Here is a 27,702-nt window from a genome sequence, read left to right as displayed (position 1 = left end):
TTATTCTGTATACTATAAGATTTCCTTCTGTTATTTTTAGGGCTTAGAAAAAAATTGTAAACACAGCAAATTATTTTCCCCTTGGACTGTTTTTTTTTTTTTTAACATAAAGTTGATTTTGGTTTATTTCTCTTCTAAACCACCATAGTAGTTTCCCAATGGAATTATGTTGAGATTTTCAGAAAGTTAACATATAAAGGAAGTGAATTCTCTTTTTCCTACTCTACTTAATGCAAAGTTTCACTTAATAAGAGAATTTCACTGAGATATAAAGGGCTAAAAATGAAGTTTTAATTTGGAACAGCAGCTTATAACTTTAACTAAACCACTGTACATCTTCACATGTACTGTTACCAATTTTCAAATTGATCATATTATTTTTCCTTAGGGAAACTGAATAGTGGAAGAGCTGCCTTTTAGCTGGTGTTACGCAGAAAGAAATGCAAAAGTGAAAACTAGCAAGATGTATGGGAATTCAGATTTCTGTGGTATTTTGATTACATCATCAAAATGTGGCCAGAAATTTATATACTAAAAATTATGATAATATGGAAAGAAATATTAAGGTGCAACAATAGTTTATATTCTTGTCTGTTGTATGTGAAGCACATATTCTTTTTAATTTAATGTAATTTTAAGTTCTTGGATACATGTGCAGGATGTGCAGCTTTATTGCGTAGGTAAATGTGTGCCATGGTGGTTTGCTGCATCTATCAACCCATCACCTAAGTATTAAGCCCAGGATGCATTAGCTATTTATCTTGATGATCTCCTTCCCCCCACCCCCACTGACAGGTCCCAATGTGTGTTGTTCCCTTCCCTGTGCCAATGTGTTCTCATTGTTCAGTTCCCACTTACAAGTGAGAACATGCTGTGTTTGGTTTTCTGTTTCTGCGTTAGTTTGCTGAGGATAATGGCTTCCAGCTCCATCCATGTTCCTGCAAAGGACATGATCTCATTCCTTTTATGGCTGCATAGTATTCCATGGTATATATGTACCACATTTTCTTTATCCAGTTTATCACTGATGGACATTTGGGTAGATTCCATGTATTCACTATTATGAATAGTGGTGATGCACATTTTCCTTGTGGCTGGCACGTATCAGATTATAAATCTTATCTGAATCTGACTAATGAAGATTTTTCTAGGGTTTAACTCCATTCATTATAGAGTTAATCTCAGATGAGCATTTAAAACATTTGAAAAAGAAAATTTTATAATCTGCAACCTTTCCAATATCTTCATTATCTTTAATTTTTGTTAAGAGACGTATTTTGTGGTCCATGCAGAGAATGGTTTTGTGTTAGGGAAGTAAAAACAAACACACACTATATTGTGTTTTCAGGTGGAGTACAGATCAGAACATACGCACACACACAGATGTACACGATACTACTTGTAGATTAACTGATGACCTCAAATCATAAAGTGAACTGGGCCTTAACAGCTTGTGCAGTCTTCACTGCACTCTCGACCTTTGCTGGTTTATTGGCACCAAACTGTTTTCAGTCCTCCTAGCAAAACAGTATGTAGTTACAAGCCTGTAAGTTAGGAAACCTCTTAAGTTCACTGGGATGTATTGGAATATAAAATCTTTATAACTGTTATGGTGTCAATGTCTACTAAGTACAAACACTAATTAAAAATGGCCCTCAGTGAAGGTCATAGACAGTGATGATAAATTACTTGTTTCATATAATTAATGTATTCCTGAAAATATATACATGAAACACATTTTTGTTAATGATTCATATTTCAACTGTTAATATGCAATCATTATTTAGAGGACACCAAGGGTTTAAAAAATTATGTTCTAATATAATTTTTAAAGGTAAATAATTTTAATATAAAGTTCAAGAGTTTTAAATATAAAGTTCAAAATTTTGCCCATTAAAAATAAGATTTTCCTGATGTGAGGTCAAATTGGAAATAACTCTGGTCAAAATAGAAATAATCTGATTGCTGTTGGTGAAAAATCTTTCCCTTCTGATATCTCTGCCCATACAACTGTTTGGTGTGTAACTGCTGGTATAATTCCTGTGTATCTACAGATATGTACATTTTGCTCTAGAGGACGGTAAGCTAGACCTTGAGGGCTAGTGTGTGTGTTTCTCTGTGAATGTGGCTATTCTTGAGACATTTATAAAGTGAGTATAATCAGTGAACCCATTTTCAATAATAACACCTTGCCTACCAGACAAGAACACTAGCAAAAAGTGACATTTATTGAACACATGATTGTCCAGGCACCGTTCTAAACACTTCATCTATACTAACTCATTGAAACTCCACAATGTCCCTATTATTTCTGTCCACATTTTATAGGCTATGGAATTGAAACATAGAGAAATTATTTAATTTGCTCAAAGTCCCCTAGCTAATAGCTGATGGATTCAGGATTCAAATTTAGACAGTCTGACTGCAGAACATACTGTTTTAACAGCTACATTGAGTTGCATTTTAACAAACAAATATTTAACAAATAAATATTAAAATATTTAATTCTGGAGTTCTTATTCTGTTATTTCTGGACCTTGGCTACTGCTATTGGTAGAACTTCCGTGTATCCTGACAGACATATTGTCAGTGCCCTCGCACACTCTCCCAGAGGAGACCTCTGGGCCCCACTTCAGAAAGCCCTGGAGTGTGCATGCAGGTGTGGCTCCTTCCTCCTGGAGATCTTACATAGTACACTGTGAAGGACCATGAGGGACGTAAGATGTATAATGTACATCCTACACCCTCGAGGTGTGCAACCTGGTGTCCTTGTTGGAATGTGAGGAGTTTACCATGATTAAGAGCTCAGATGCTTTCATTAAAAAAAAAAAAACATTATAATGGAAGTAGCCTGTGTTAGAATTAAACAGCTCAGATTTTATGATTTAGAATGTACACTAGTCCCTGCTCCTCCACCACTTCCTAGCAATAGTCTCTTTTAACAGTGTGAAATGGAACTTTCTAGATATTTAAGAAGTATCTACAGATATGAATATCTGTTTGTGTGTATATATATATATATATATATGCATTTTATAGATTAAAATCATACTTTACATGTTCTGGCATTTTTTTTTTTACTTAATAAGTTATAATTATCTTCCAGTCTCAGAAGTCCATGTCAGTATATTGGGAATTAGCTCATTTTAAAAACAGCTGCTGGGTATTCCAGAATATAAATCTTTTTAATATAAATAATAATGCTATTAAAAGTAATCAAATAATTTATGTAACCAATGCCCTGCTATTGGAAATTGGGTTGTGTCCCAGTTGTGTGATTCAATGGGACAGTAAACAGTGGGACTTGGACATTGAGGATAGAGAGGCACAATCTTGCCCTCAGGCATTGGTGCATTCCTGCCTCTTAGACCATCAGATCTTTAGCAAATTTTCAAGGTTTTTCATTAATAATAATGACAGGTTTTAGGTAACATATAACTTTTTGGTGGGGAAGCTTAATGTACTCTATGTGGTTGACTGACATATGAACCTTCACTATGTTTTGTCAGGCAAGAGGTAGGCATTAACTTTCTGAATCCTATATTTTTAAAGCAATTACAACTCTTTCACACCTGAAGTTCTAGATTTATGTCTAATTGCTTCAGAGTTATCCTTCTCTTGCGAAGAACTCTTCAGTGTTGTTTAAAGTTGCATGGTTGCGTTTTAAAAAGTTTTGCTCTTAGTAAGGAGCAAAGAATTGTATTAAGGAAGAAGTGATGTTTTCTGGGTCTAGCTTTACATTCAGCTGAGATGTTTTAAGTGCTTATCAGCAAGTAATCATTTAAGTCTCCTTTCTTTGACCTTTGTTAAAATGTTCATCTCTTTATTTTTCTCCAATTCTCCACTTAAAAATGTTATGACCTAATGTTAGGTAGTGAAACTATTTTGTGAAAAGTTCTAAAAATAATAATCCTGAGCAAGTGACTTCTAAATGGCAATTAAATTGATGTCTGGGAGAGACGGGGACATTGTGCTAACTCAACTGCTATTCTCTCTGTGCAAAGTCACATGAGGTTTTAATAGCATAGGTTGTTACCTGAGATGGAAAAAAATCTTAGGCTTGAATTAGTCCTAAGATAATCTATAATTGCATTATTTTGTTGAATTTATATGAGTACTTTCTGTAATTTTTAGAAAAATTAATCGAAGGAAGAATTATTTTAAATATATTCACATACGTTATGTTCAAAATATTCTGCACAAGGTTTTCAGAGTATGAAGACACAAACTACGGTGGAGACTATACTGTTATTAATAAATTGTAATTTTTTAACAATTTGAGTAGAGTTACTCAAAATTCTGTTCCTTCTACAGAATACCTCATGCTTGTATGAATTCATGGGAAGGGCAGATTGTGTTATTTGGGGTAACAATTTCACACACCTTGTGTCATACGAGATGGGGAGTTTCCACTGTCCTAAGGCAAACATTCCTACTGTGTCAAAGCTGCAAACTTCCAGCCAGCAGCACATACTTAACTTTCCAAGGAATCACCATCTGGGGGAGGCCTCAGTAATACAGCAACACCTTGTTAGTCTGGACATATCTCACTGACTCATTCTTCGGAATGTGTCACCAGCATCCAACCAACTATAGATGGAGGACTTCAGTATTGTGAGTGCAGGGATACCTGTGAAATATAATGGTTGTGCAAATTTCATTGAACAGTCGTTAATGTGACCTACAAAGCCTAATGCATTTGTTTTTTGTCAGGATCTACGTAAGTCCATGCTTTGTTGGAATCTGTGTTAGAAAACATGTCAGTCTATTATTCCATTATTGTTACTGCATTTTGCTACTTCCATCATTCATCCCTCAACAAACATTCATTGGGTACCTTTTAAGTAATAGGTAGTAGATACAGAAAATACAGAGGTGAAAAAGACGTACCTTTTTCCCTGAAGACTGTCACAAAGGCAAATAGTTCCATGACAGTGTGAAATGGGCTACAAAATATGTAAGAATATGGGTCTTGATCGCACAAAGAAGGGTATGACCAGCTGCAGCTGAGATGTGAGGGGAGGTCAAGGAAGTTTTTACAAATAAGGTAACTCAAACTAGGTCTTGAGGGATGAACAGATTTTACCAAATATATAGGAAGGAAAACACTTTCTCTCCAAAGAGAGAATAAGAACAGAGGTGTGTATTTAACACATTATATAAAGGGAAGTGCAAATGATTCTTTCAACAATATTGATGAAGTTGTGAACCAAAAGTATCTGAGATAGGACTCAATCAATTTAGAAGTTTATTTTGCCAAGGTTAAAGACACACCCATGACACAGCCTCAGGAGATAAAAAAGCTACATACCTTCCTCACAATTTGCCTACAAGGAAATTCTTTGTGGGCCTCAAGATGATGACACGTGCCCAATGTGGCTGGGGTACAGCTTGGTTTTTTATATTTTAGGGAGACATGAGACATCAATCAATATGTGTAAGATGTAGATTGGTTTGGTCTGGAAAGGTGAGACAACTTGCAGTGGGTAGGAGGCTTTCAGGTCATAGATTGGTAAGAGACAAACAGTGGCATTCTTTTGAGTCTTTGATCAGCCTTTCACTGAATACAGAATTTACATGTGAGAGAGGGGGTAGAGGAAGAGTCACTTTTGTCTTAGTCTGGCTCAGTGAATGTACATTTTTGTATAAACAATAGGTGAGAAGAAGCAATCAGATATGCATTTGCCTCAGATGAGCAGAGGGATGACTTTGAGTTCTGTCCTTTGTCCCGCAGCTGTGAAGATAAGCTATCAATTTACATTGCCAAGGTGAAATCCAACTGAACTCCTTTAAGATAAAGATCTTGAGTCCCAAAAGGAATTTCCTAGTGGGCAAATTGTGAGGGAGGTATGTAGCTTTTTTAATCTTTGTAGTTATCTTATTTAGGAATAAAATGGGAGGCAGCTTTGCCTGAGCAAGTTCCCAGCTTGACATTTCCCTTTGGCTTAGTGATTTTGGGGTCCTGAGATTCATTTGCCTTTCAAAAAGTCTATACAACAGACATGGTGAATGTAGGCTCAGGGTGGGAAGCTACCAGAAGGGAACCTAGAGAAGAAATGAGAATGAAGTCAAAGTAGGCTTCCCATAGCTATCAAAATGAACTTAGAAGAGCCTGATGGTTGAAGTGGAAGCCACAGAAGGATTTTAAATAGGAGACTAATACAGTTAGGAAAAACACTCTGCAGGGTGGAGAATAGATTTGAGGGGTCGAGAGTGTAGGATGGGAAGAGTGAATGAAGAGACTGTTGCAATCAGTAGTCTAAGTGGGAGGTAGCGAGGTCCAGGAAGTGAGGATGGATTGAAGTGATCCATCTACTTTGCAAGAAGGCAGAGTGTGGGAGTACTGGGGACTGATTCAATTTGAGAGGACTGGAGGTGTGAAAAGGAAGCTTGAATTACAGCGTGATTGTACCAGGAGGCACCTGAGGAGGAACTTCCGTGGAGAAGATAATGCTTTCAGCTTAGGACATTGTGGTAAAGCTTTTCAGAAGGCAGTTGGGTATCTATGTCAGAAGCTTAGAAGAGGGGCCTAGGTTGGAGGCACAGCTTTGGGGTGATCACATTGAACTGGTATTGAAGCTACAGGGGTTGATGAGATCACCAAGTATTTTAGATGAGAAGACAAGAAATGATACACAGAACTTTGAATGACACCAACAGTGAAGACTTGGATGGTGAAGGGGAGATGGCAAAGAGATTGAGAGAGAATGCACAGCAAGACAGAAAAACAAGAAGTTTATTAGCAAACTGTATTTTCTTTATGCCTCACTGCTCTCGTGACTATGTCTAATATTTTTCCATGAGTCCAATATACATTTTTACTAGGTATATTGCTTTTATTTTTAGATATAATGGTTTTCAATTCCTTGTGACTTGACACTGGACTCCAATTATTATAGACAAGGCATTTTGGAATTTAAACTATATCCATTCACATAGTGTTTATAGAAGATGAAAGTAAATCTAAACTCTTGATTCAAGACTCTTTCAGGATAGCAGAGGTGCGCAATGGGAAGGGGAAGAGGAGTGAGAATTAGAGCAGTCTATTATAAGAGAGGATATTTTGAGAGGAAAACTTTTCTCTCCTAAAGACAAATTGTTTTCTGGCTAACTATATCTTAACATCTTTTTTTTTTTTTTTTTTTGAGACAGAGTCTCGCTCTGTCGCCCAGGCTGGAGTGCAGTGGCGCGATCTCGGCTCACTGCAAGCTCCGCCTCCTGGGTTCACGCCATTCTCCTGCCTCAGCCTCCCGAGTAGCTGGGACTACAGGCGCCCACCACCGCCCCCGGCTAATTTTTTGTATTTTTAGTACAGACGGGGTTTCATCGTGTTAGCCAGAATGGTCTCGATCTCCTGACCTCGTGATCCGCCCGCCTCGGCCTCCCAACGTGCTGGGATTACAGGCGTGAGCCACCGCGCCCGGCCAATATCTTAACATCTTAAAAGAATCCCTAGTTTATGTAATTGCTGATGGCTAATGATGGACTTGTCCTGGTGTTTGAGTAAATGTAAATAAGGTTTATGAGCCATTTATTAAAACAACTTGTCTCCTTAGTAGCTAAAATTCCCCCCATGTTTTCCTCAAGGAGTCATCCAATCCTGTTATTCTCTATGGAACCCTATAGCTATTCTGTAGGTATTTCAATTTTCAAATGAATGTTGCAGGTGTGTGTGTGTGTGTGTGTGTGTGTGTGTGTGTGTGTGTGTGTGTGTATAAAGGTACAGATATTGTGGTTGTTTGGGTATTTTATAATGATGAAATCTATAAACTTGCAGCTTTCAGTACATTTCAAAGGCTCAGTAATACACCATAATGTTTGACAACGTCCCAGCCATATTTATATAATATGAGGTGTATCTCCTTTACCAAAAAAGCTGCGTTTTAAACATTTGCTTGTAGTTAGGTTGCAGAACACTTTTTCCCCAGTGGAAATAATGTCATAAGTGGGACTTGCATTCAAGTCCTGCTTACTGTGGTTGTTTGAAATATGTTCAGAAATTCTTTGACAAAACCTTCAAATGGTAGAGCTAATTCCTCTCCCTTCAGCATGGGCTGGATTTAGTGACTTACTTCTAACGAATAGAAAAAAAAGAAAAAAGCAGAGGCAACTGAATGTGGCTTCAGAGACTAGATGACAAAAGCCACCTTGGCTCTCTTTTCTCCCTTTCTCCTGGATCCCTCACCCTGGGGCCAGCCAGCTGTCACATCCTGAGGATGCTCAGGCGGCCTGTGGAAAGGCCCCCATGGTGAGGAACGGAGGTCTCTGACCAAATGCCATGTGAAGACGCCAGCTTAGAAGTGGACCTGCCAGTCCCTGTGAAGCCTTGAGAAGACTGCAGGCCTGCTGATAGCCTCACTGCCTAGAACCACCCAGCTAAGACGCTCTGCATTTCTGACCCACAGCAACTGTCAGATAATACATCTTTGTTGTCTTAAGCCACTGAATTTTGCAGGAACTAGTTACCCATAACTAATACACCCACAAAACCCTGTTTAATTCAATTTAAATACTCTCTGAAGATTTCCAATGAAAAACTATTAAAATATAATTTCAGGCAAAGGAGACACTGTAAACCTGAATAAAGAATGTAATTTGAAGACATGTTCGAGGGGAAAGAAAGCACATTTAATTAGAGAAAGATGAGGAAGAAGATCGTTTTTTTTTTCTGTTATGATTTAGGTTCCAAAGGGAAATCCTGGGTTTTTAACTGGGTATAATTTTATTATACTTGTAACTGTACTTTTTACAAAATTTTAGTCTTTTTGATTCACATAGGAAAGAAATATAATGAGAGATTCAGAAGGAGGAAGAATAATTTTCCTGAGGCAAGAGTTAGAAGAGAGGTAGAAAGGGAGATGGGGAGAGATTTCCACGAGGCCTGAGAAAGGAGAGGAGGCCCTTAGCAGTTAGTGGTGAGAAGCAGAAGGGAGTACCCAGTGCTGGCCTGCAGGTCTGAGGAGGAGCAACGTGGGTGTTGTGGTGGATACCTCCACCCCCATAAGAGGAGAATCTGTTGCTCCCTGAAGCAAGTTAGGTTGGAATGACCTGGAGTTTGGTGAGAGGGAGGCCGTGTCCAGTGACCACGCTTATGTAGAAAGCTTGCAGGAGATGAATAGACATTCGAGAGAAACTTGTATGAATATGGCTGCATCTTACGCCACTCCTTACTTCAGTGGAAGCTCTGTTATTCCCACATAGCGTCCTTTGAATTTCCATATCATCATTTTACACCTGAATACGTGGACAGTTGTCAAGAAGTACAGTGCTTGTCGGCTGACTGGTCATCCCCTTCCTGTGTTCTATACAAAGGCTATGGCAGGCAGCTTGACTTTTGCCAAGTACAAAGAGGACTTTTATTTATCCTAAAAAGTTGTGCAGTTTGCTAAGGAGGGTGTGCAAGTTAACTACACAAGATAGGAAGAGAGATGGGAAAACAAGACCCATCAGAGTTTCCACATGGGCAGGAAGTATAACAAGGCGTCTGCCTTTGCTCCACATGAGCTCAAAGGACATTTCTGTGAAGCTGATGGATTCTTTCTTTAAGCCTGTTGGGGAGATGATTTTTTTTTTTTTTTTTAATTAAAGAGGGTTTCACTCTGTCACCTAGGCTGGAGTGCAGTGCGATGGCACAATTATAGCTCACAACAACCTCAAACTCTTGGGCTCAAGGGATCCTCCTGCCTCAGCATCCTGAGTAGCTGGGACTACAGGCATGTGCCACCACACTGGCTAATTTTTTAATTTTTTTGTAGAGACGGAGGTCTTACTATGTTGCTCAGATTGATGTCAAACTCCTGGCTGAATTTTTGAGGTTAAATTACCTGCTGTATGCTGTCATATAAGGATCTGGTAAATGTGTGTTAATTTATTATTAATGAATGTTTTCACAAGTGTGTGTTTTTAACAGGTCACCATAGTCCATATTCACTCTTGTCTCTTCTCCATTTTCTTCTCAGGTTTGTATTTGAAAACAGTGCAGCATAATTCAGTGTGCACGCACATGTGTAATTATAATTTTCCCCCCTTAGTATCAGCTTTATTCTGAGGAGAAAAATGAGGTTCATCATTTCCATGGGACTACTGATTAGTGAAAGTAATATTTGAAAAATATTTATAGATTTGTTGCACCACAATTTCCCATATAGTGAAAGTACATATTCCCAGAATTTGTCCTACTTTAACCTAAACCCATGGGTTCATAATATGTTATATTTAGGTAAAACCAAGGAATCAAACATGCTCAGGGTTTTTAACTTTCTTTCTAGAAAAATTCACTTCTCAGCCTTCTGACTTTTAAGTTTCTATTGATAAAAAGAAAGTCAAAACTGTTTCTGGAGAGATGCATTTTTATTATCTTTCTGGAGCTAAAGTTTGCAGATTTTTATGACTCCTGATAAGTGGCATTATTATGGAAACTCTCTTAATATGCTTGTTCAACACGTTCAAATCAGAAAACATGACTGCTAATAACATGACATCAATTCTCTTTTGGGGTTTGTAAGCAATAGAATGAATATTATATTCATCATTGACATGGAGAATGTAGCTGAGAGGGTTGTGTCGCCTGAGAAAAGCCACATGTAATTAAATTGAGCCTATGGAGAGCAGACATGGAGAAGTTTGGGTATAAAGGGAAGTTGACTATGTCAGCACAACCAGGATTTCACAGTGCTAGTGGAACTAGTTTGAGCTGGAGGAGTGGAGGAGCAAAGAGATGATGCTTGGTGTGAATGTAGTTTCCGGGGCAACTGATCTGGATCATGGTTTCTGAACAGCAGCACTAGTGACATTTTGGTCTGGAGAATTCTTTGTTGTGGGGAGCTTTCCTGTGAATTGCCGAATGTTTAGCAGCATCTCTGCCCTCTACCCAATAGGTGCTAGTATCATTACCCCACTCTCACAGTTTTGACAACCAAAAAGGTCTCCCACTTTGTGATATGTTCTCGAGGGGCAAAATGGCCAGAGTGGAGAACCAGTGGTCTAGATAAAACCAGAGGGCAGCACTGGGATAGAAATCTGGGCATCAGTTTCCAGGAAGAGAAGATTGCTGAGTAAGAAGTACCTTTTTGCTAAAGGCATGCAAACGAGGTTAGAGAGAAAAAGGATTGGTAAAGAAAAGTGGTCCCGTGTCTGATGTGGCCTCCTACAAACCCAACACCCGGCTAAATTGCTCAGCCTGGGCTCGGGGAGGATTCTTCTTCAGTTTCCTGGTTTCTTGATCTCTCTGATTCATTTGATCCCAGGTGGGGCTGAGAGGGATTTTATATTTCAAACTGTGGTTTCTAGGTGATGCTGATGCATTGCAAAGACGTCACATTTTGAGAACCACTGCTCTGGAATAACCACCTTTGCTGCTATCTGGTGTTAGACTTTTCTCGATTATCTTTGTGATTTTCTCTATGCCCAGGCTTGCTACCCTTAGTTTTTCTTATGTTGGCTGCTTCTGTTTCATCTTGGCATTGCTCACTTCCTGTAGTCCTTAATTGTCTTCCTTAATTCACATTCTGCACTATGGATGGAGGGAGAAATGCCTCTTCTTTCTTTTTCATCTCTCACTGGTTGTCTGTTTTTTCTTTGCTTCAAACTACAGGAGACTCAGTTTCCCTCATGCTGTATCCCGTAACATCTCCCAAGGCTGCTGATCTTTTAGGAAACTGGTTCCTTAAGGCTAGGTTACATATACCATGGTTGTCAATAATGTAGAGTTCTTAACATTTTATATGCTATTTCGACTATAGTAACACATTTTTAGGGAATATCTGACTTTTAGATCCTTTTCTGAGCTGTAACTGATTTCTTGGAACTCATCTTTCTACAGGGGACATTTGAATTATTTTGCATAAATGAATAATTTTACACTTGCCCACATCAAAGCTTATCTGCGAATTTCTTGCCCACTCACACATCCTCATGAGATGTGCTTATCAGATTGCTTTTTTTTTTTTTTTACCCAGAAAATCTTACTTAGGGTCGTATGCATTCTTAGAGATATTGCTGTATCTATTTTTTCTTAGTTATTAAAGATTTTTTGTTATAAATAGAGATTGCCTCCTGGGAGATCATCACTGTTTATATTTTTATAAACATTCCCTTTGCTGCATGTTGCTAAATGACTCCCTATCCATGACAAAACAGAATCATATGATTCCATTCGAATTTCGGGTTAAAAGTAGACTGTTTCCTCTCTAGCATCACCTAGTGTTCCGAGGCCTGATTCCGCTTCAGTGGCTGACCCCAGTGACCCACTGTAAAGCTGACAGTTCTGTCACTCTGGATCTTGCAACATGTTCCTGTTAGGTGTGTTTCATGGCCAGGGCAGTTGGGATTGCCAGCGCTGTTAGGAGTCATTGCTTCTTATGCAAAAGTGCGAGAGGGCTTCATTGATTTCCGCAGCAGGCCTTACTCCCTCCCACTCTGCACACTTCCTAAAGCCTCCTTCCACCTTTACAAACTCAGCCCCCTCCTGGCCATGTCAACTCCTGATGATGTGTCAGGTGTCAGCTTGTACACATCCACCTCACCATCTCAGGGGGGTCTTCTGTGACACCGATGACAAGCTGCCACACTGGGTGCTCCTTCAGCACCTGCATATCTCCTTTAGGACACTTTCTACGGTAGAATTATTTAATTATTAGCAATACTGTGATGAGTTACTCACCCATGAGTTCTCTGAGGGCAGTGATTGTCTCTTGAGTCATTGTAAATCCCTGATGTCGAGCATAGGGCCTGGTACCTAGAAGGACCTCAATATTGACTGACTGGCAGGTCTGCTTCTCCTGTCCACTTCTGGAATAACACTAACGAACCCAGCTTCTGAACTTTGCCATTTTAACTGGCCATGGTCATGCATCTCACCATGTATTTCCCCTTTATTTTTGGGCTCTGCTCGGTTCCTTAGCTTTTCTTGATAGGACATGGGCTCCAGACCTCCTACCATGCTGGCTATCCACTTTTGGATGTTCTATTGAACACGGTGTTCTGGGCATCAGTGCAAGACACGTGAAAGTGGTTTTCCACTCCATTAGAATATGGCTGTTCTTAAATACACAACAGAACTGCTTTAATGATTGTAGCACCTGTGTCATATTGTTGACTAATACTAAAATTCTGATCACTGCAATGCCTCGCTAGTCACATGATGCATTTTAACTATACAAGCAATACATGATCACTATAAAAACTAGAAAATTCAGATGAAAAATAATAATTTAAAATCAGCAATTAATGCCACTACCGAGAAACATCCAGTGTTGAAATTTTATAACCTTGAAGACTTTTCCCATGAGCCATCTTTATTGATATATATGCATATGTTATGTGTAATGTGTGTATGTATATGTATGTGTATATATTCTGAGCTTATATGTTCTCTCTCTCTATATATATAAATATATATGGCTCTGTACGCTGCCATATATGACATAGTCTCTTTATGTCAGTAAACAGAGTTCCATTCTGCCTTGAGAAGCAATGTGACATAGTGGATAACAATCTAGGGTTTGAATTCAGATGGCCCTAGGCTGTACATCCCATTGCTTACTAATTATATGACCTGGGATGGGTTACTAATCTTTTCTAAACTTCAATTATATAGTTATTTATAGTTAGTTATACATTTATATAGTATATGGAATTATGTAGTTATAGAACATATTTATAATAGCCATATGGTTTATTTAGCTATATAGTATTTCATTTTATGAATATACCTATTTACAATGTCTTTAAATTAGGTCTACTTTATCCTACCATTCAATTTTTGAATCCTGAAGCTGAATTTTTTATTTTTGTGCTTGTTAAATTTTATTTTATTGATTTCAACCAAAATACTTCAGGATTTGGGATAATTTAAAGATACTTTTCAATCTTTATCTTTTGAATCTGTGTGTTACTACACATTTGATAATCAGAAATTTAATCCAAATGATAGACAAAAATGTTAAATGTAGTAGAGAACTATATATTCCATCATTGTTACCATTATAGTAACTCTCCCCATTGTTGTCCTAGGGATATGAATACACTAATAACCAGTACACTTTGATTAATGTTATTAATTGGCTATTGAATCTATCCAACTGATTGGTCTGCTCCTGATTAACACCCTTTTCCAGTCCAAAAGGAGAGCAAGAGAAATCCTGCCTGGAGCCCTGAAGAAATAGAATATATAATCTTTGTTGCATTCTTACATTTTACCTCTCCAAGAAGAGTTTCATAAAAGTAAATAAAGTTAGGTTAGTCTAATACATGTTTAGTAAACTCATACTGCCTCCCTGAAATGTTCACAGCTTTCTTAATAACGTAGGAGCCATGGCCACATGGGTGAAGATGCTAACTCTTCTAGAAAAGAACAACCCACGGCAACAGATCTATACCAACATATACATATGAGACAAGCATGCTCCAGCTTTTTACTTTAGAAAGGGATGGGGGAAAAGGCATGCTTTGTAGGGAAAAAGGAAAGAATGGAAAAAAAGATAGGTTGAGAGAGGATGGAGAGAATTTTTATTTGCTTTATTTGTTTTCCCTTGGGACAGCACTGTTTTTTAAAAAAAGAATGGGAGGACATGCCAAAGTAGTGCCATGTTTAATAAACTCATCATCGCATTTGCTTTATAGAAATAGGTGCTATCCACACATGCTGTAAGATGTATGTGCTTGCTATTTCTTGTTTGCCTTGGGTAGTTCATGTGATGCATAATACTTATTATTAAAATGACAATATTCTTAAGTAATATTGTGGTTATGTTCTCCAAATCCTTTTTACTTCTTCAATATACCTGAGTAAGTAGGTAGAGTATCTCTTGAAAGGGAAGAGGGATGTAGAAAACCTAAGTGATTTTCCCCAGATGTTTATAGCAAGTTAGTGCTGGAATTAAGACCATAAACCAGAGGTTGTATTACATGGCCCCTCACTTGAAATTCAGTAAAATTTTTCCTCATCCTGTCTTAGGAGAGTGAGCCAGCCTCATGTTCTAGAAGAACATCCAGGTTCCAGGCCTTCCCTGCTTCAACAGCGTGGTTTCCCACAGCTTCTCATTCTAGGTACATCAAGCTACCAGTAGTTGTTCCCTGCACCAATGCTGCTCCATACCTTTGTATGATATTTTAGGCCACGTAGATTCATCTATATAAAATGCTCTTTGCACCTTTCTTTACCTGGACACACTACTCTGTGTCAAACTCTAAGTCTTCTTCTCCAGGAAACCTTCTTTGAACCTCATGTGCATGACTATGCTAGCCCTGGACCTTGTCCTTGAGAGGGCAATGATCTCTTATGTGCCTCTCTTCTTCCTTACTGCAGATCCTTTGTACATCCAGAGACTGACAGGCAGTGAGAGCTCAAATACTATGAAAGTGGCTTAAACTGACAGGTTGTCTTATATCAAACAGGATATGAGAGCAAATCTCAATCAACCAACAGATAATACTCTTGGACTACATTCTACTTAGAAGGAAATTTAGTTTGATTTTTAAAAATACATTTTTCAAATGCTCTGGTAATAGATGTTGTGTTGTTACACATCTAATTAGTGTTTTGCCCAAGTGGGCAAACATAGGTATTCTTTACCCAGAAGCAACACGTATTATAATCTCAATAGCTAATAGGTTTTGTAGGGTTCTTTAGAGAAGCAGTTCTATTTTAATTCAGATTCCTTAAGAAGTTGGAGGATCTTTACCAGAAATCGTAGCATTTTGACAGTATCTCTCTTTTAAAAAATATTCTGACATCTAAGTGATTTGATTAATTTAGTTTTTAATAGGTGTGAGGTAATTTTAAAAATATCATAGCCGCAGGATAATTTATTCATGGAGGATCATTTCGTAAGTGATTGAGTTTCATGCCTTCTTTTCTGGTAGAAGTAGAAAAAAGTACGTGGATTGCTGCTAACTTAATAACTTTACTGATAACTAAGAATGGAACAGATCTTGCTGTGAATTACATAAGCAGCTTTAAAAGCACTCCATATTCTTTCTGTGACAGAGTACGAAAAACACAAGGCAGAGAATATGGTTATGAGAATGTTTTCCTGCAAAAGCTTAACTATGTTGTATTTAGTAGTATAGTCAGGGAAAGATGGGGTTAGAATGATCATAACAGCCGCTTGAAAAATGTATCTTAATGTCAGCCTTGAATGGCTTTTCTTTTTCCTGCTAAGGGAATCTAACAGGATATTAAAAAACATATTAACCTTCAAAATATGTTTAGATTCTGCTATGCTTCTAAAGAGGCAATATGAATGTGAGAGCTATGTTTAGTAGAAGTTTTGACCCATAGAATTCGTAGAAAGGGGTCACTTAAATTTAGTTTGGAAGCCAACAGTCTCGCATATGACTGTCTGTAATATCACACCCTTCTAATCCATTCTCTATGCAGCTGGTAGAGTTATCATTCTAAAAGAAAATCTGATTATGTGATTCATCTGTGTAAAGCCCTTTAGTGGTGAAATCTAGATGCCTTAGCTTGGCAGACTAGGTCCTGCTTGAGCAGGCCTTGCAACAACTGCCCTAGAAATCCATGTTTGAGCTATAAGGGAGCAGCTCACAGTGCCTAGAATTCCTCAGCCAGTGGCTACTTACTGCAGTCATCCCTGTCTACCTGAAATGCATGGTCTCTGTTCATCCTCCCCAGGGATTGACCAATCCCTCCTTTGCACCAATAATCTGCCTTTACATCACAGTTCTTTCAAGCCACTCTTAACAATTTTTGTATTCAATTACCCTTCTCTCTTAGACCCTAAGCTCTTATTATCTCTGCGTGGTCATTACCCTTCCCTCTTTGACTCTAAGCTCTTATTATCTCTGCGTGGATAGGCCCTGCATGACAATTAGTTGAGTTGATTTATAAATAGATTCACTGATACCTCAGAGTCAAAACTATTGACTGTGCCTACTCTCAAAAACTGTATCCTTCGTGGAAGTTTTGCCTGCAATTCCAAAATAGTCTTCATCTTACTCTTACTGATTTTGTATTAATGTTGTAGTTGAAAACATTGGAGACTAGTTGCTTGGGTTTCTAATTTCAGTTCTTACTCAAATACTTATATTCCTACAGAAGAAAATACTTTAGGCTAAGAAAAACAGCATTGTTGCTAAAATTCTCAATTTTGAGCCCCACCCACCCCACATTTTATCTATGGAAATGTGCCTATTGACCCATTTTGCCCTCCACTGGTGTTCTGAGATGGGTTTAGAATTTTGTAGGAAGCATATAGAGGAAAATGACATCAACATTTTTTAGCTAGACTCCTGTTTGGCTTCCTGTGACTATTAAGATTGGTTCTGTTATTTTGTTCCTTGAGCTATCACTGATCTTGATTACTGGATTATTGTTATTTCTGAGTTACTGAAATAATATAAAGTCATATATTAGTATGTTCAGTATTATATGTAGTAATAGAATTAGTCATTGCCATTGCTGCAGGCTTAAAAGTAATTACCAAAGTAGACACCATCACTGGAATGTAGGTTGAATCAGAGAATGTTAATTTTGTCCATTTTTCTTTCATATTTTTTTTTAAAGTTTAGAAAGCTGAGGCCCAGAATCTTAAGTAACTTATGTAGGATTTCATGGCAAATTAAAAATGAAGCCCTGAGTCCATGCAAAGCATTTCCAAAATGCCTTCCTCCCCTTTTGTATTTGAGAATCATTCCAGTAGCACGTTAATGTAGGGACTATTCAGGAGACATCAGGCTTGGAGCTGGGAGTTATGCCACCGCTTACTTTCCATTGCTCTTCATTGTTCCCCTGCAGAAAAGTGCCCCAGGAACGATAAGTCCTCAATGAATGGAGAGATTGAGACACATAACTCCCTCGTAACTTATGGCTTTATCTAAATGGCTTTAAACTTGTAGGTGTTGCCTTAAAAGTATCAGAAAACACTGATTTTCTACTGAAATCAACAGAAACTTTGATTGCGTGAGTGAAGATTCCCAGTCTGTTATTACTTGTGTTGATGAGTGGGCTTGTTTCCCTGTAGCTTAGGAGGCTCCATATCAAGTAGGTTCAGTTTGGATGACAACATGGAGCTATGGAGAAGCTAACCACAGAGGCAAAGGAGAGAAAGCAGTCTCAGAGACAAATGCAAATAGTCTTGGGAATCCTTTCTAAATATATTCACTCATCAATCTCTCCAGGGCACCTATCTGGTATTTTCCCTCAGTAGGTCAACTATTGTTGCTTGATGGCTTTAATCATTTTGCAATTTCAAGTAAAAAGAAGAGTAATACCATAGCTGTATGTCAGCTTTCTGTCTTATTCATAGGAAGAAGGACATAAACAGTTCTTGAAAAATGCCGTGTCTTGGAAACCTTGAAAGGTGGTCGCCTTCTCAATCATACAAATATTTCAAATAACAGCTTTGTCAGCCTTCCTGCTTTGAGCTCACAATAGGGATGGTAGGTAGGTTGGGGAAGGGGAAAAGAACAGCCTTTAATTATACATCAGCAGCACTTTCAGGGAAGGAACTATATGTTTTTTGTATTCTTCAAAGCCTGCTATTGTCTTCAACACACAATCTGCACTATGAAGTGTCTGCTGAATGAATGAATGGGTAGATGAATGGATGATGGATATTGTATATGTACTTTCTGTTATTTGGAATGAAGCAGGAACCCAAAACAAATTTGTCTCCTCATAATGGAATGATTTTTCTTTCTTTTTTATTTGCATAAATAATTGTCCTCTTACTCTTCTCTAGTCTCATATAAAAGCATTTTCTCTACTCTGTAAAGCTATTCACTTTTATTCTGGATTAAATCCCATCCTACTTCTTTTTTTTGTTATAAAATTGTCAGAAACAAAAGTTGGGTTTTTTCCCAGGCTAGGGGAGTCTTTTTTCCCCCCTTTTACTTTTGTTAATTTTGCCCTGAAGGTACAGTGAAAGTGGCACCTCCTCCTTGAAGCTTCTCATTGGTTATTCTACCTTACTCCATTTCTATTTAACACATATTTAGTTTTCTTACCATAATTACACCGGCAACAAGTGTAATAGCACATATTTTACTTAATAAAAATCTCAGCATCAAATTCAGTGATGAGCAGATAGTAGCTGATTAGCAAATCCTTCTTGATTGAGTAAACTATTACACATGCATGGGATATTCTTGCTTTCTTGGGTAAATCTGATTGCCATTTTATTACAAACTCTGAAAGCCCACGAAAGTACATTCATCATGGTAATTTAACTGATTACCTTGCCTTTAGCTACTGTAATAAGAAGCCCTTTGCATTTTATGACTGCCTTCTTGATCCACATATAGATTTTAAGTTTTGTTTGTTGGACACTTTCTCTATTTCTTTTCATATTTAAAGGTCATTCTAGTTGTGAGCTATTGTTTCAGAATCAGGAAATATGATAGTTAGACAAAAGGACTGATGAGCTAATCTCTGATGGTAAAAGATATTTTGGGATGTATCACAAGGTTTTAGGGTAAAAGGCTTGTATATTTTGTGAACCTTCTGGAACTGATGAACACTCTTTTTTTGGCGTGTGTGTGTGTGTGTGTGTGTATGTGTTTGTACTGTGGCAAGGATGTGCGGGCAAAGAATAGCTAGCAATCCTAGATGTAACTCAAAAGAGAAGCAAGATTATTATGGCTATGCTTTTCTGTCTTAGTTTCTCTGAAATAAAAATATTTTTTGATGTGAAACGCAATTGCTTCTGATTCTAAACTACATGGCTCCCCTCTAAGGGATTCGCCAAAATGGCAAAAGATGTGGGGATGGGCAATTTGAATCTGAAAACATTGCAACTGGAAAGAAATTCAGGGCTGGGCACTACTAGACAGAATTGTAAATGAGCTGAATTTGGTTGCGTTTCCATTAGTCTAGTAGGAATCTGAAGATACTAATTACTGTGTTTTTTTTCTTTCTTTTCAAAAATAAACTAAACAAGTCCAAGTGCCTTTGAAATTCTGTTAATCTCTTATCCAAACACTAGTAGGCTCCTTTCTTATTCCGTGTGTCGTTAACCTCAATTTTGCCTCCAGTTGCCTCCTAGCAAGCTAGTAAAAATGGAAAATGGAAAATGAATTGTGGTGAGTGCTTAACTCACTTTAGATGGTGTGGTCCTTTTTTATTCTTTTTTACTGTGAGTTTACGTAGCCCATGCTATCATTGTTCAAACTTCTTTAACCCTTTTTATGTGGGACCTTCTATCTCTTGGATTTCCTATTATCTCTCACCATGATGACTTCTTGATAAAGGAAAATAATATGTGATATTACATGTCTAAAAATGTCTTTTTCTATCCTCCTTTTGGATTGATAATTTTGCTAGGTGCAGACTTATAGAATGAAAATTGTTTTTCCTTGGAATTTTGAGGATATCACTGCATTCGATTCTAACTTTCAATAATGTTGAGAACTATGATGCCACTTAAAAAAATCCTTTGTATGGGACCTTTGCTCTCACCTCACCCCTTGGAATTTTTAAGCATATGATGTAGATTTTTACTGATTTTGTTAGACATTTTCAATTTTAGAGATTTACATCTTTCAGTTATAAAATTTTGTTTTTAAAATTATGTCTTTGATCATTTCCATACAAATTCTTTTGTTTGGTCTTTTCTACTGAAACTCCTGTAAGATTTTGGAACTCATGGCTTTTCTAAATAATTTCTTTATGTTTGTTTGTTTATGAGTCCTTTGTCTTTTTATTCTTTTTTGGAACAAATTTCCTTGAATCTATCTTTTTTAATTTTTACATTTTTTTATTTTCAATTTTTGTGTTTAAATAGTAGGTATATATATTTATGGGGTACGTGAGATGTTCTGATACAGGCATGCGGTGTGAAATTTGCACATCATGGAAAACGGGGTGTTCACACCCTCAAGAATTCCTTGTTTTTAATCTTCTAATCCCCTTATTGGATTAAAAAATTACATATTTATATTTTTATTTTCAGGGAACTTTTCTTTTCTTTCTTTTTTTTTTTTTTTTGAGACAGAGTCTTACTCTGTTGCCCAGGCTGGAGAGCAGTAGCACAATTTGGCTGACTGCAGCCTCCACCTCCCGGGTTCAAGGGATTCTGCTGCCTCAGACTCCCGAGTATCTGGGATTACAGGTGCGCACCACCATGCCTGGCTAATTTTTTGTATTTTAAAGACGGGGTTTCACCATGTTGGCTAGGCTGGTCTCGAGCTCCTAGTCTCAAGTAATCCACCCGCCTCAGCCTCCCAAAGTGTTGGGATTACAGGCATAAGCCATGGCACCTGGCCCTTTTCTTATTTTTTTGTTATTCCTTTTTATGATATCTTGTTTTTAATTCATGGGCACAACATCACATCTTTGATGATATCAATGATAGATTATTTGAATTTTTCAGTTTTGTTTCTCACTTTTGTTTCCTATTTTATTCTCTATTTTAAATTGGAGGCTTTCTCAAACGTGGTAATCTTTGTTTTTCTACTTATGTTCATTAAACATGGATGGGAAGCTTTGTGAGAAAGTTACATTAGTTCATTGATCAGCTTTTCTATAACCAGCCAGATCATTTTTGGTTGGGGGTCCCCAAATGTCAGTCAGTATGTCCACATTTTCCCCCACTCTCTCCAGAGCAGGATTCTCCAGTCTCCTTTTAAGGAAGCAGAAACTTAACTGTTTACATCCTAAGCTGGGCAGAAGGGGGGGCATGGATGTCAGTGTTTCTCACTGTCACCCTCCAATGTTCCTAAGAATCTCAGACTCAATTTCTCCACCTAATATTTCTCAACATTCCTGAGGGAAGGAACAATGGGTAATCATGTAATAGATTGTGTTGGAAGTAGGGATGCAAGAAATTAAATGTTCCTTATGGAGACTTTCAAAATATTCCCTTGTATGCATATGTCATCTGATTTTGAAAAAACAACAAGAAAAAAAAAACCAGACAAAATATTACCATGTTTTTCAACCCTTTCCCTTGAATGTACAGGCATACCTTGGAGATATTGCAGACGAGCACAGTAAATTAAATGTAGAAATAAAGTGAGTCATGTGAATTTTTTGGTTTTCCAGTGCACATAAGAGTTATATATACACTATACTGTATTCAGTCAAATGCGCAAAAGCATTTTGTCTAAAAAAGCAATGTACACATATTAATTTAAAAATACTTTATTAGTTAAAAAAAATGCCGACAATCATCTGAGCCTACCATGAGCCGTAATCTTTTTGCTGGTGGAGAGTCTCGCCTTTATGTTGATGGCTGCTGACTGGTCAGGGTGGTCGTTGCTCAAGTTTGGGGTGGCTGTGGCAATTTCTTAAAATAAGACAACAATAAAGTTTGCTTCATCAATGGACTCTTCCTTTCACTAGAAATTTCTCTGTAGCACATGATGCTGTTTGATAGTATTTTACCCACCATAGAACTTTCAGAATTTGACTCAATTCTCTCAAACCCTTCTTCTGCTTTATCAAGTAAGTTTATGGGATATGCTACATTCTGTATTGTTGTTTCAACAACACTCACAGCATCTTCCATCAGGAGTAGATTCCATCTCAAAAAAACACTTTCTTTGCTCATCCATAAGAAATGCTTTCTCATTTGTTCAAGTTTTATCATGAGATTGTAACAATTCAGTCACATTTTCAGGCTCCACTTCTAATTCTAATTCTCTTGCTTTTTCAACCCAATCAGTAGTTACTTCCTTCACTGAAGTTCTGAACCCCTCAAAGTCATCCATAAGGATTGGAACCAACTTCTTCCAAATTGCAGTTAATGTGGACATCTTGACTTCCTCCCATGAATCAGGCATATTCTTAATGACATCTGGAACAGTGGATCCTTTCCAGATGTTTTTAATGTATTTTACACAGGCCCATCAGAGGAATTACTATCTATGGTGGCAATAGCTTTACAAAATGTAGGTCTTAAAGGATAAGACTTCAAATTTGAAATGATTCCCTGACTGATGGGCTGCAGAATGCATGTTGTGTTAACAGGCATGAAAACAACATTAATCTCCTGTACAATCTCCATCAAGGCTTTTGAGTGACTAGGTGCATTGTCAATGAGCAGTAGTATTTTGAAAGGAAGCTTTTGTTCTGAACAGTAGGTCTTAACAGGGAGTTTAAAATATTCAGTAAACTGTGCTATAAACAGTTTTGCTGTCATTCAGGCTTTATTGTTCTATTTATAGAGGACAGGTACATAATTCTTGAGGGCTCTAGGATTTTCAGAATGATGAATTAGTATTGGCTTCAACTTCATATCGCCAGCTGCATTAGTCCCTAACAACAGAGTCAGCCCCTCTTGGCTGAGTTTGAAGCTTTGAAGCCAGGCATTGACTTATCTTCTCTCACTATGAAAGTCCTAGATGGCATTTCCTTCCAATAGCTGGCTGTTTCATATACATTAAAAATCTGTTGTTTAGTGTAGACACGTTCATCAATGATCTTAGCTAGATCTCCTGGATAACTTGCTACAGCTTCTGCATCAGCACTTGCTGTTTCACGTTGCACTTGGATGCTAGAGAGATGGCTTTTTTTTCCCTAAACCTTATGAATCAACCTCTTTTAGCTTCCATTTTTAATTCTGTGGCTTCTTCACCTCTCTCAGACTTAATAGAACTGAAGAGAGTTAGGACCTTGCCCTGGATTAGGCTTTGGCTTACGGGAATGTTGTGACTGGTTTGATCTTCTCTCCAGACCACTAAAACTTTCTCCATACCAGCAATAAGGCGGTCTCACTTTCTTATCATTCATGTGTTCGCTGGAGTAGCACTTTTAATTTCCTTTAAGAACTTTTCCTTCACATTTACACTTGGCAAACTGGTGCAAGAGGACTAGCTTCAGCCATCTTGGCTTTCAACCTACCTTCCTCACTAAGCTTAATCATTTCTAGCTTTTTATTTAAAGCGAGAGACATGCAGCTCTTCTTTTTACTTGAACACTTAGAGGCCATGTAGGGTTCTTAATTGGCCTCATCTCAATATTCTTGTGTTTCAGGGAATAGAGAGGGCTGGGGAGAGGGAAAGAGATGGGGGAACAGCCAATTGCTGGAGCAGTCAGAACCTATCACATTTATCAATGAAGTTCACGGTCTTACATGGGCACAGTTTGGGGCACCCCAAAACAATTACAATAGTAACATCAAAGATCACTGGCTACAAATTACTATAACAGATATAACAATAATGAAAAGTTTGAAATATTGCAAGAATTACTGGAATGTGACACAGAGACACAGGGTGTCTTGGAAAAATGGCACTGATAGACTGGTGCAACACAGAGTCCACAAACCTTCAATTTGTAACAAAGCACAGCATCCGTGAAGCGCATTAAAGAGAGGCACAGTCAAATGAGTCATGCCTGTACTCCTCCCTTGCATTGTATCTGGTACTTCCAACTCCTAGGCTTTTTGTGGGTTCTTCAGGGTAAAATGGAGTGCACCTTCTTGGTCTCTTTCTTTCATAGGCATTCGGGCTTTTCTTTCCTCTTTTCTGTGAAGTGTTTTCACTATATTTTATTTCTTGGTGGAATGGGGTTTGGGTTGTGTCTGCTAAAATTACTTAATCTTAACAAAAGACTACTCTTATTGAGAACCCTTATGGTTATTTATGGAATAGGCCAGTGCATAGATGTAGATGCATAGATAGCAATTAGAGATAATTTAGAAAATCCATGAGGTCCAAAATCTAACAGGGGTTTCAGCAGGAAAGACCAAACAAAATAATAGTATTGAAATGATCAAAGAATAATGAAATGAAGGCTAGTGTGGCATGTTTGTGCATTGGTGAAGATGTTGTTGTCTCTCTTTCCAGTAGCTTCAGAGATTGGGCCAAGTAAAACAGGGAGTCTAGCTTGGAATGCAGAGATATAAACTGAGATGTGATGTATTAACAAGTCACCATGAGCTACCTTCATCGTACAGAGACACAGGGAGGGCCCTGAAGGAATATGGATATGCAATTATAGGAAAGTAGGGTTTGATGGAAGAGGGTATAGACGGGAAAAAAGCAGAAGATGTGACAATGACTCTAAGATGTGGCTTCTAGTCAGTGACGGTCTGCTTGGTCACTTGGGGTCTTACTGTGGATTGAAAACAGGTCCTTTCTTGAGGATGGAGGGGTGCCTCTACCAACATAACTGCTGAAATGGTCCTAGATCCCAGAAGTTCTCTTGTTATCATAATGGGTTATTTTGAAAAATCTAGGACATCCTTCACATGATCATCTCAAGGATAACTAAAAATGCAAGACACGTTTTAGGGTACAAAAAGCAAAAATTCAAAACATCTTAGAAAGCCAAATTATTTCTATTTGAGTTCATAAATACTGTGCATATAACATGAAGTTAGAATTCTGATCACAGAAGCCTTATACGAACACTTTTTTTATCCCAACTAATCTGTAGTGATTGGCATTTCTTTGTAATAGATCATAAATCTTGGTGCAATGGGAGGATCATCTTGAGGCAAAAGAGAACATCTCATTTGTTTTATTTCACTGAGTAGAGCTACATGACACTGCTGTTTCTGAAGAGTGGCCATCATCTGCATGGCTTGCTGCAGAGAATTTTTCTGGCTGCAGTAATTTAGGGGCATTTGAAAGCTGAGTTTGAAGGTGCACTACCAAACCATCAGGCTAATGCTGAACATCATGTCTTCTGAGGTGGGTTTCATTTAGTAGGTTGTAAGCAACGTGCATTTTTCTTGACTCACGGAATCTACCCACCTATATGTCTATCAGATAGGACTAAACCACAGATGTTCAAATCAACTTAACATTTGCCTAGGGAAATAAACTTAAAAATAATTGTGCCTGCCCCAATCCATGACTTGATTGAACTTGGCTGCTAACAGAGGAGATAAATGGGTGGGCTACTCAGGCTGAGTCTTCCGGTTTACTTTGGGTGGCTCATTAATGGGGCTGAAGCACACCCCTTTTGACGTCATCTTTCTGTGCATGTTTGGAGAGACTGGGACCTGAACAGATGGCCTCTATATGGGCTCCCATGACTACCAGGCATGCCAAGCAGGCAGATGAGTGATCTGGCTTGTTCCTTCTCTTTTAGATTGCTGTCAGCCAGGGAAAAGTGGTGAAAATAAATCAATGGCTCCCTCCTCCAGACCCAGCATGCACCCTTCAGTCGTCAAAATAAGAAACATCCTGTGGTGGCTGTTGGGTGATTTCTCTGATGGGAAGAGCCCTTTACACGCTGGTGATTACCATAACAAATGACCAAATACCTCTTTTTTCTTTGTCCTGGATCAAATGTTGGCCCTAAGTGGCAGCAGCTGGTTTGGAGTGAGCATTGTTTATTCACTCCTAGACACTTTACGTCCTTTCTGAATGAGTTCAGTATTTTTGGTAATTGGTTGACAGCTGTTTACATGTTCCATCATCAGAACACAAGAAATCATAAACAAGAACCATGCTGAATATCTCTGACATTGCCTTTGTGTTCCTACTTTACCGAAAGCCCAGGGGCCTCTTCTTGCGTAACATCCATGGTTTTGACTCTTCAGTGAGTCCATAGGAAACGGTATAGCAGGGGACTCAGTTTAGAACCAATGACATAAGCTTTAAATCTTGCTTGATCTTCAAATAACAAGTTGACCCTGGGCTAGACTGTTTTATGGGCCAGCTTTCTTTTATTTGGAATAAAGACCTTCCTACCTTGCTTGCAGATCTATGACTCATATTCTCACAGACACACACTGATTTTCTAGTTATAAATCATGGACATTTGATGTGTTTTCAAACAATGAACACTTCGCATATGTGAGAGCCACGTTGGGTTAAGGTAGAAGGGAAGTTTTACTTTTTGGCATGAATTACATATATATAATCAAGAGGCTTTTCAATTTTGGAAGTTTCATATGGCCCGTGGGTGGCATGTTGGATATCCCAAGATTTACTTAGTGCAGTATGATAATCTAGTTCCCAAATTTTACATAGCTTAACACATAGAATTTGTAATGTTTCTAGAAATACCGCATATAGAAATATCTTCATAAGAGTTCTATGTTGTGATCTCCTTTAAGTTAATTCTCATTAGTTAGCTAGAAGAATTATGGGACAGTCACATCAAGGAATAAAAAATGGGACTTCTGGTCTTAGTTCTGATTTGTTTGTAACTGAGCTATTTATTGAGAAGTATCACTTATCATGTCTTTTCACTGATGCTTAAAATATATATGCAAACTAGAGCTGTCTAACTTGCAAAGCTTTTGGGGGGTCTTCTTTTATAAGTGTTAAGAAACTTATAAGTAAAAATTATTATTAATAACTGACATACTTAGACCTGTCAAGAAGGATGGTAACATTTCAACCAGCACTTGAGAGGAGACAGGTCTGCTGTGAGTTAGTCATCATCTGTGGATGATGTATTTGAGGACATGATGCACAGAAGTTGAATTTATAAAAAAAAATGTTGGTAAAGCTCTTTCTGGAGAAATCATGGGTTGCAGCCTTAAATTCTGGGAAAATGGAATTTTCCTAGTTTTACAAACATGGCAGAAGGGATCCTCACTCTTGCATTTTTGGATTCTCATTAATGTTTCATACACACACAGAGTTAATAAAATCTCTGATGATTAAAAATGTGATTTTAGATTTAAGATATATTTTTAAAATATTAACATACAATGGCATCTCAGAATAATGAGTGTTTTACTTCTACTGCATCATTTATGCATTTTCTTTGGGGAAATGGACAGTCAACTCTTTTTCATACTTACTCTTTTTTCAAATGTTTTAATTTTTCTATTT

At 37.8% G+C, this 27,702-nt stretch overlaps 1 protein-coding gene and 1 long non-coding RNA gene across 16 annotated transcripts in view, besides 2 other annotated features; both read left to right on the top strand.

Moving 5' to 3' along the window:
- The window catches only part of FGF14 (fibroblast growth factor 14), a 691,640-nt gene that overhangs the window by 42,487 nt on the left and 621,451 nt on the right, over nt 1-27,702 (top strand). The gene's annotated exons all lie outside the window — the stretch shown is intronic.
- FGF14-IT1 (FGF14 intronic transcript 1) overlaps nt 1-27,702 on the top strand; it is a 102,200-nt gene that overhangs the window by 34,563 nt on the left and 39,935 nt on the right. The gene's annotated exons all lie outside the window — the stretch shown is intronic.
- Nucleotides 7,285-7,786: an enhancer, noted in NCBI's record as "H3K4me1 hESC enhancer chr13:103004521-103005022 (GRCh37/hg19 assembly coordinates)". NCBI's record gives its function as "activates a minimal SCP1, AML or CMV promoter by ChIP-STARR-seq in naive H9 embryonic stem cells {active_cell/tissue: H9 hESC(naive)}" and the evidence as "EXISTENCE:reporter gene assay evidence [ECO:0000049][PMID:30033119]".
- Nucleotides 25,850-26,433: an enhancer, noted in NCBI's record as "OCT4-NANOG hESC enhancer chr13:102985874-102986457 (GRCh37/hg19 assembly coordinates)". NCBI's record gives its function as "activates a minimal SCP1, AML or CMV promoter by ChIP-STARR-seq in primed H9 embryonic stem cells {active_cell/tissue: H9 hESC(primed)}" and the evidence as "EXISTENCE:reporter gene assay evidence [ECO:0000049][PMID:30033119]".

This window comes from Homo sapiens, chromosome 13 (assembly GCF_000001405.40).
Source record: "Homo sapiens chromosome 13, GRCh38.p14 Primary Assembly".
Classification (NCBI taxonomy): domain Eukaryota; kingdom Metazoa; phylum Chordata; class Mammalia; order Primates; family Hominidae; genus Homo; species Homo sapiens.
The sequence above is the reverse complement of the archived record's forward strand: the minus strand, read 5'-3'. Positions and strand labels throughout refer to the sequence as shown.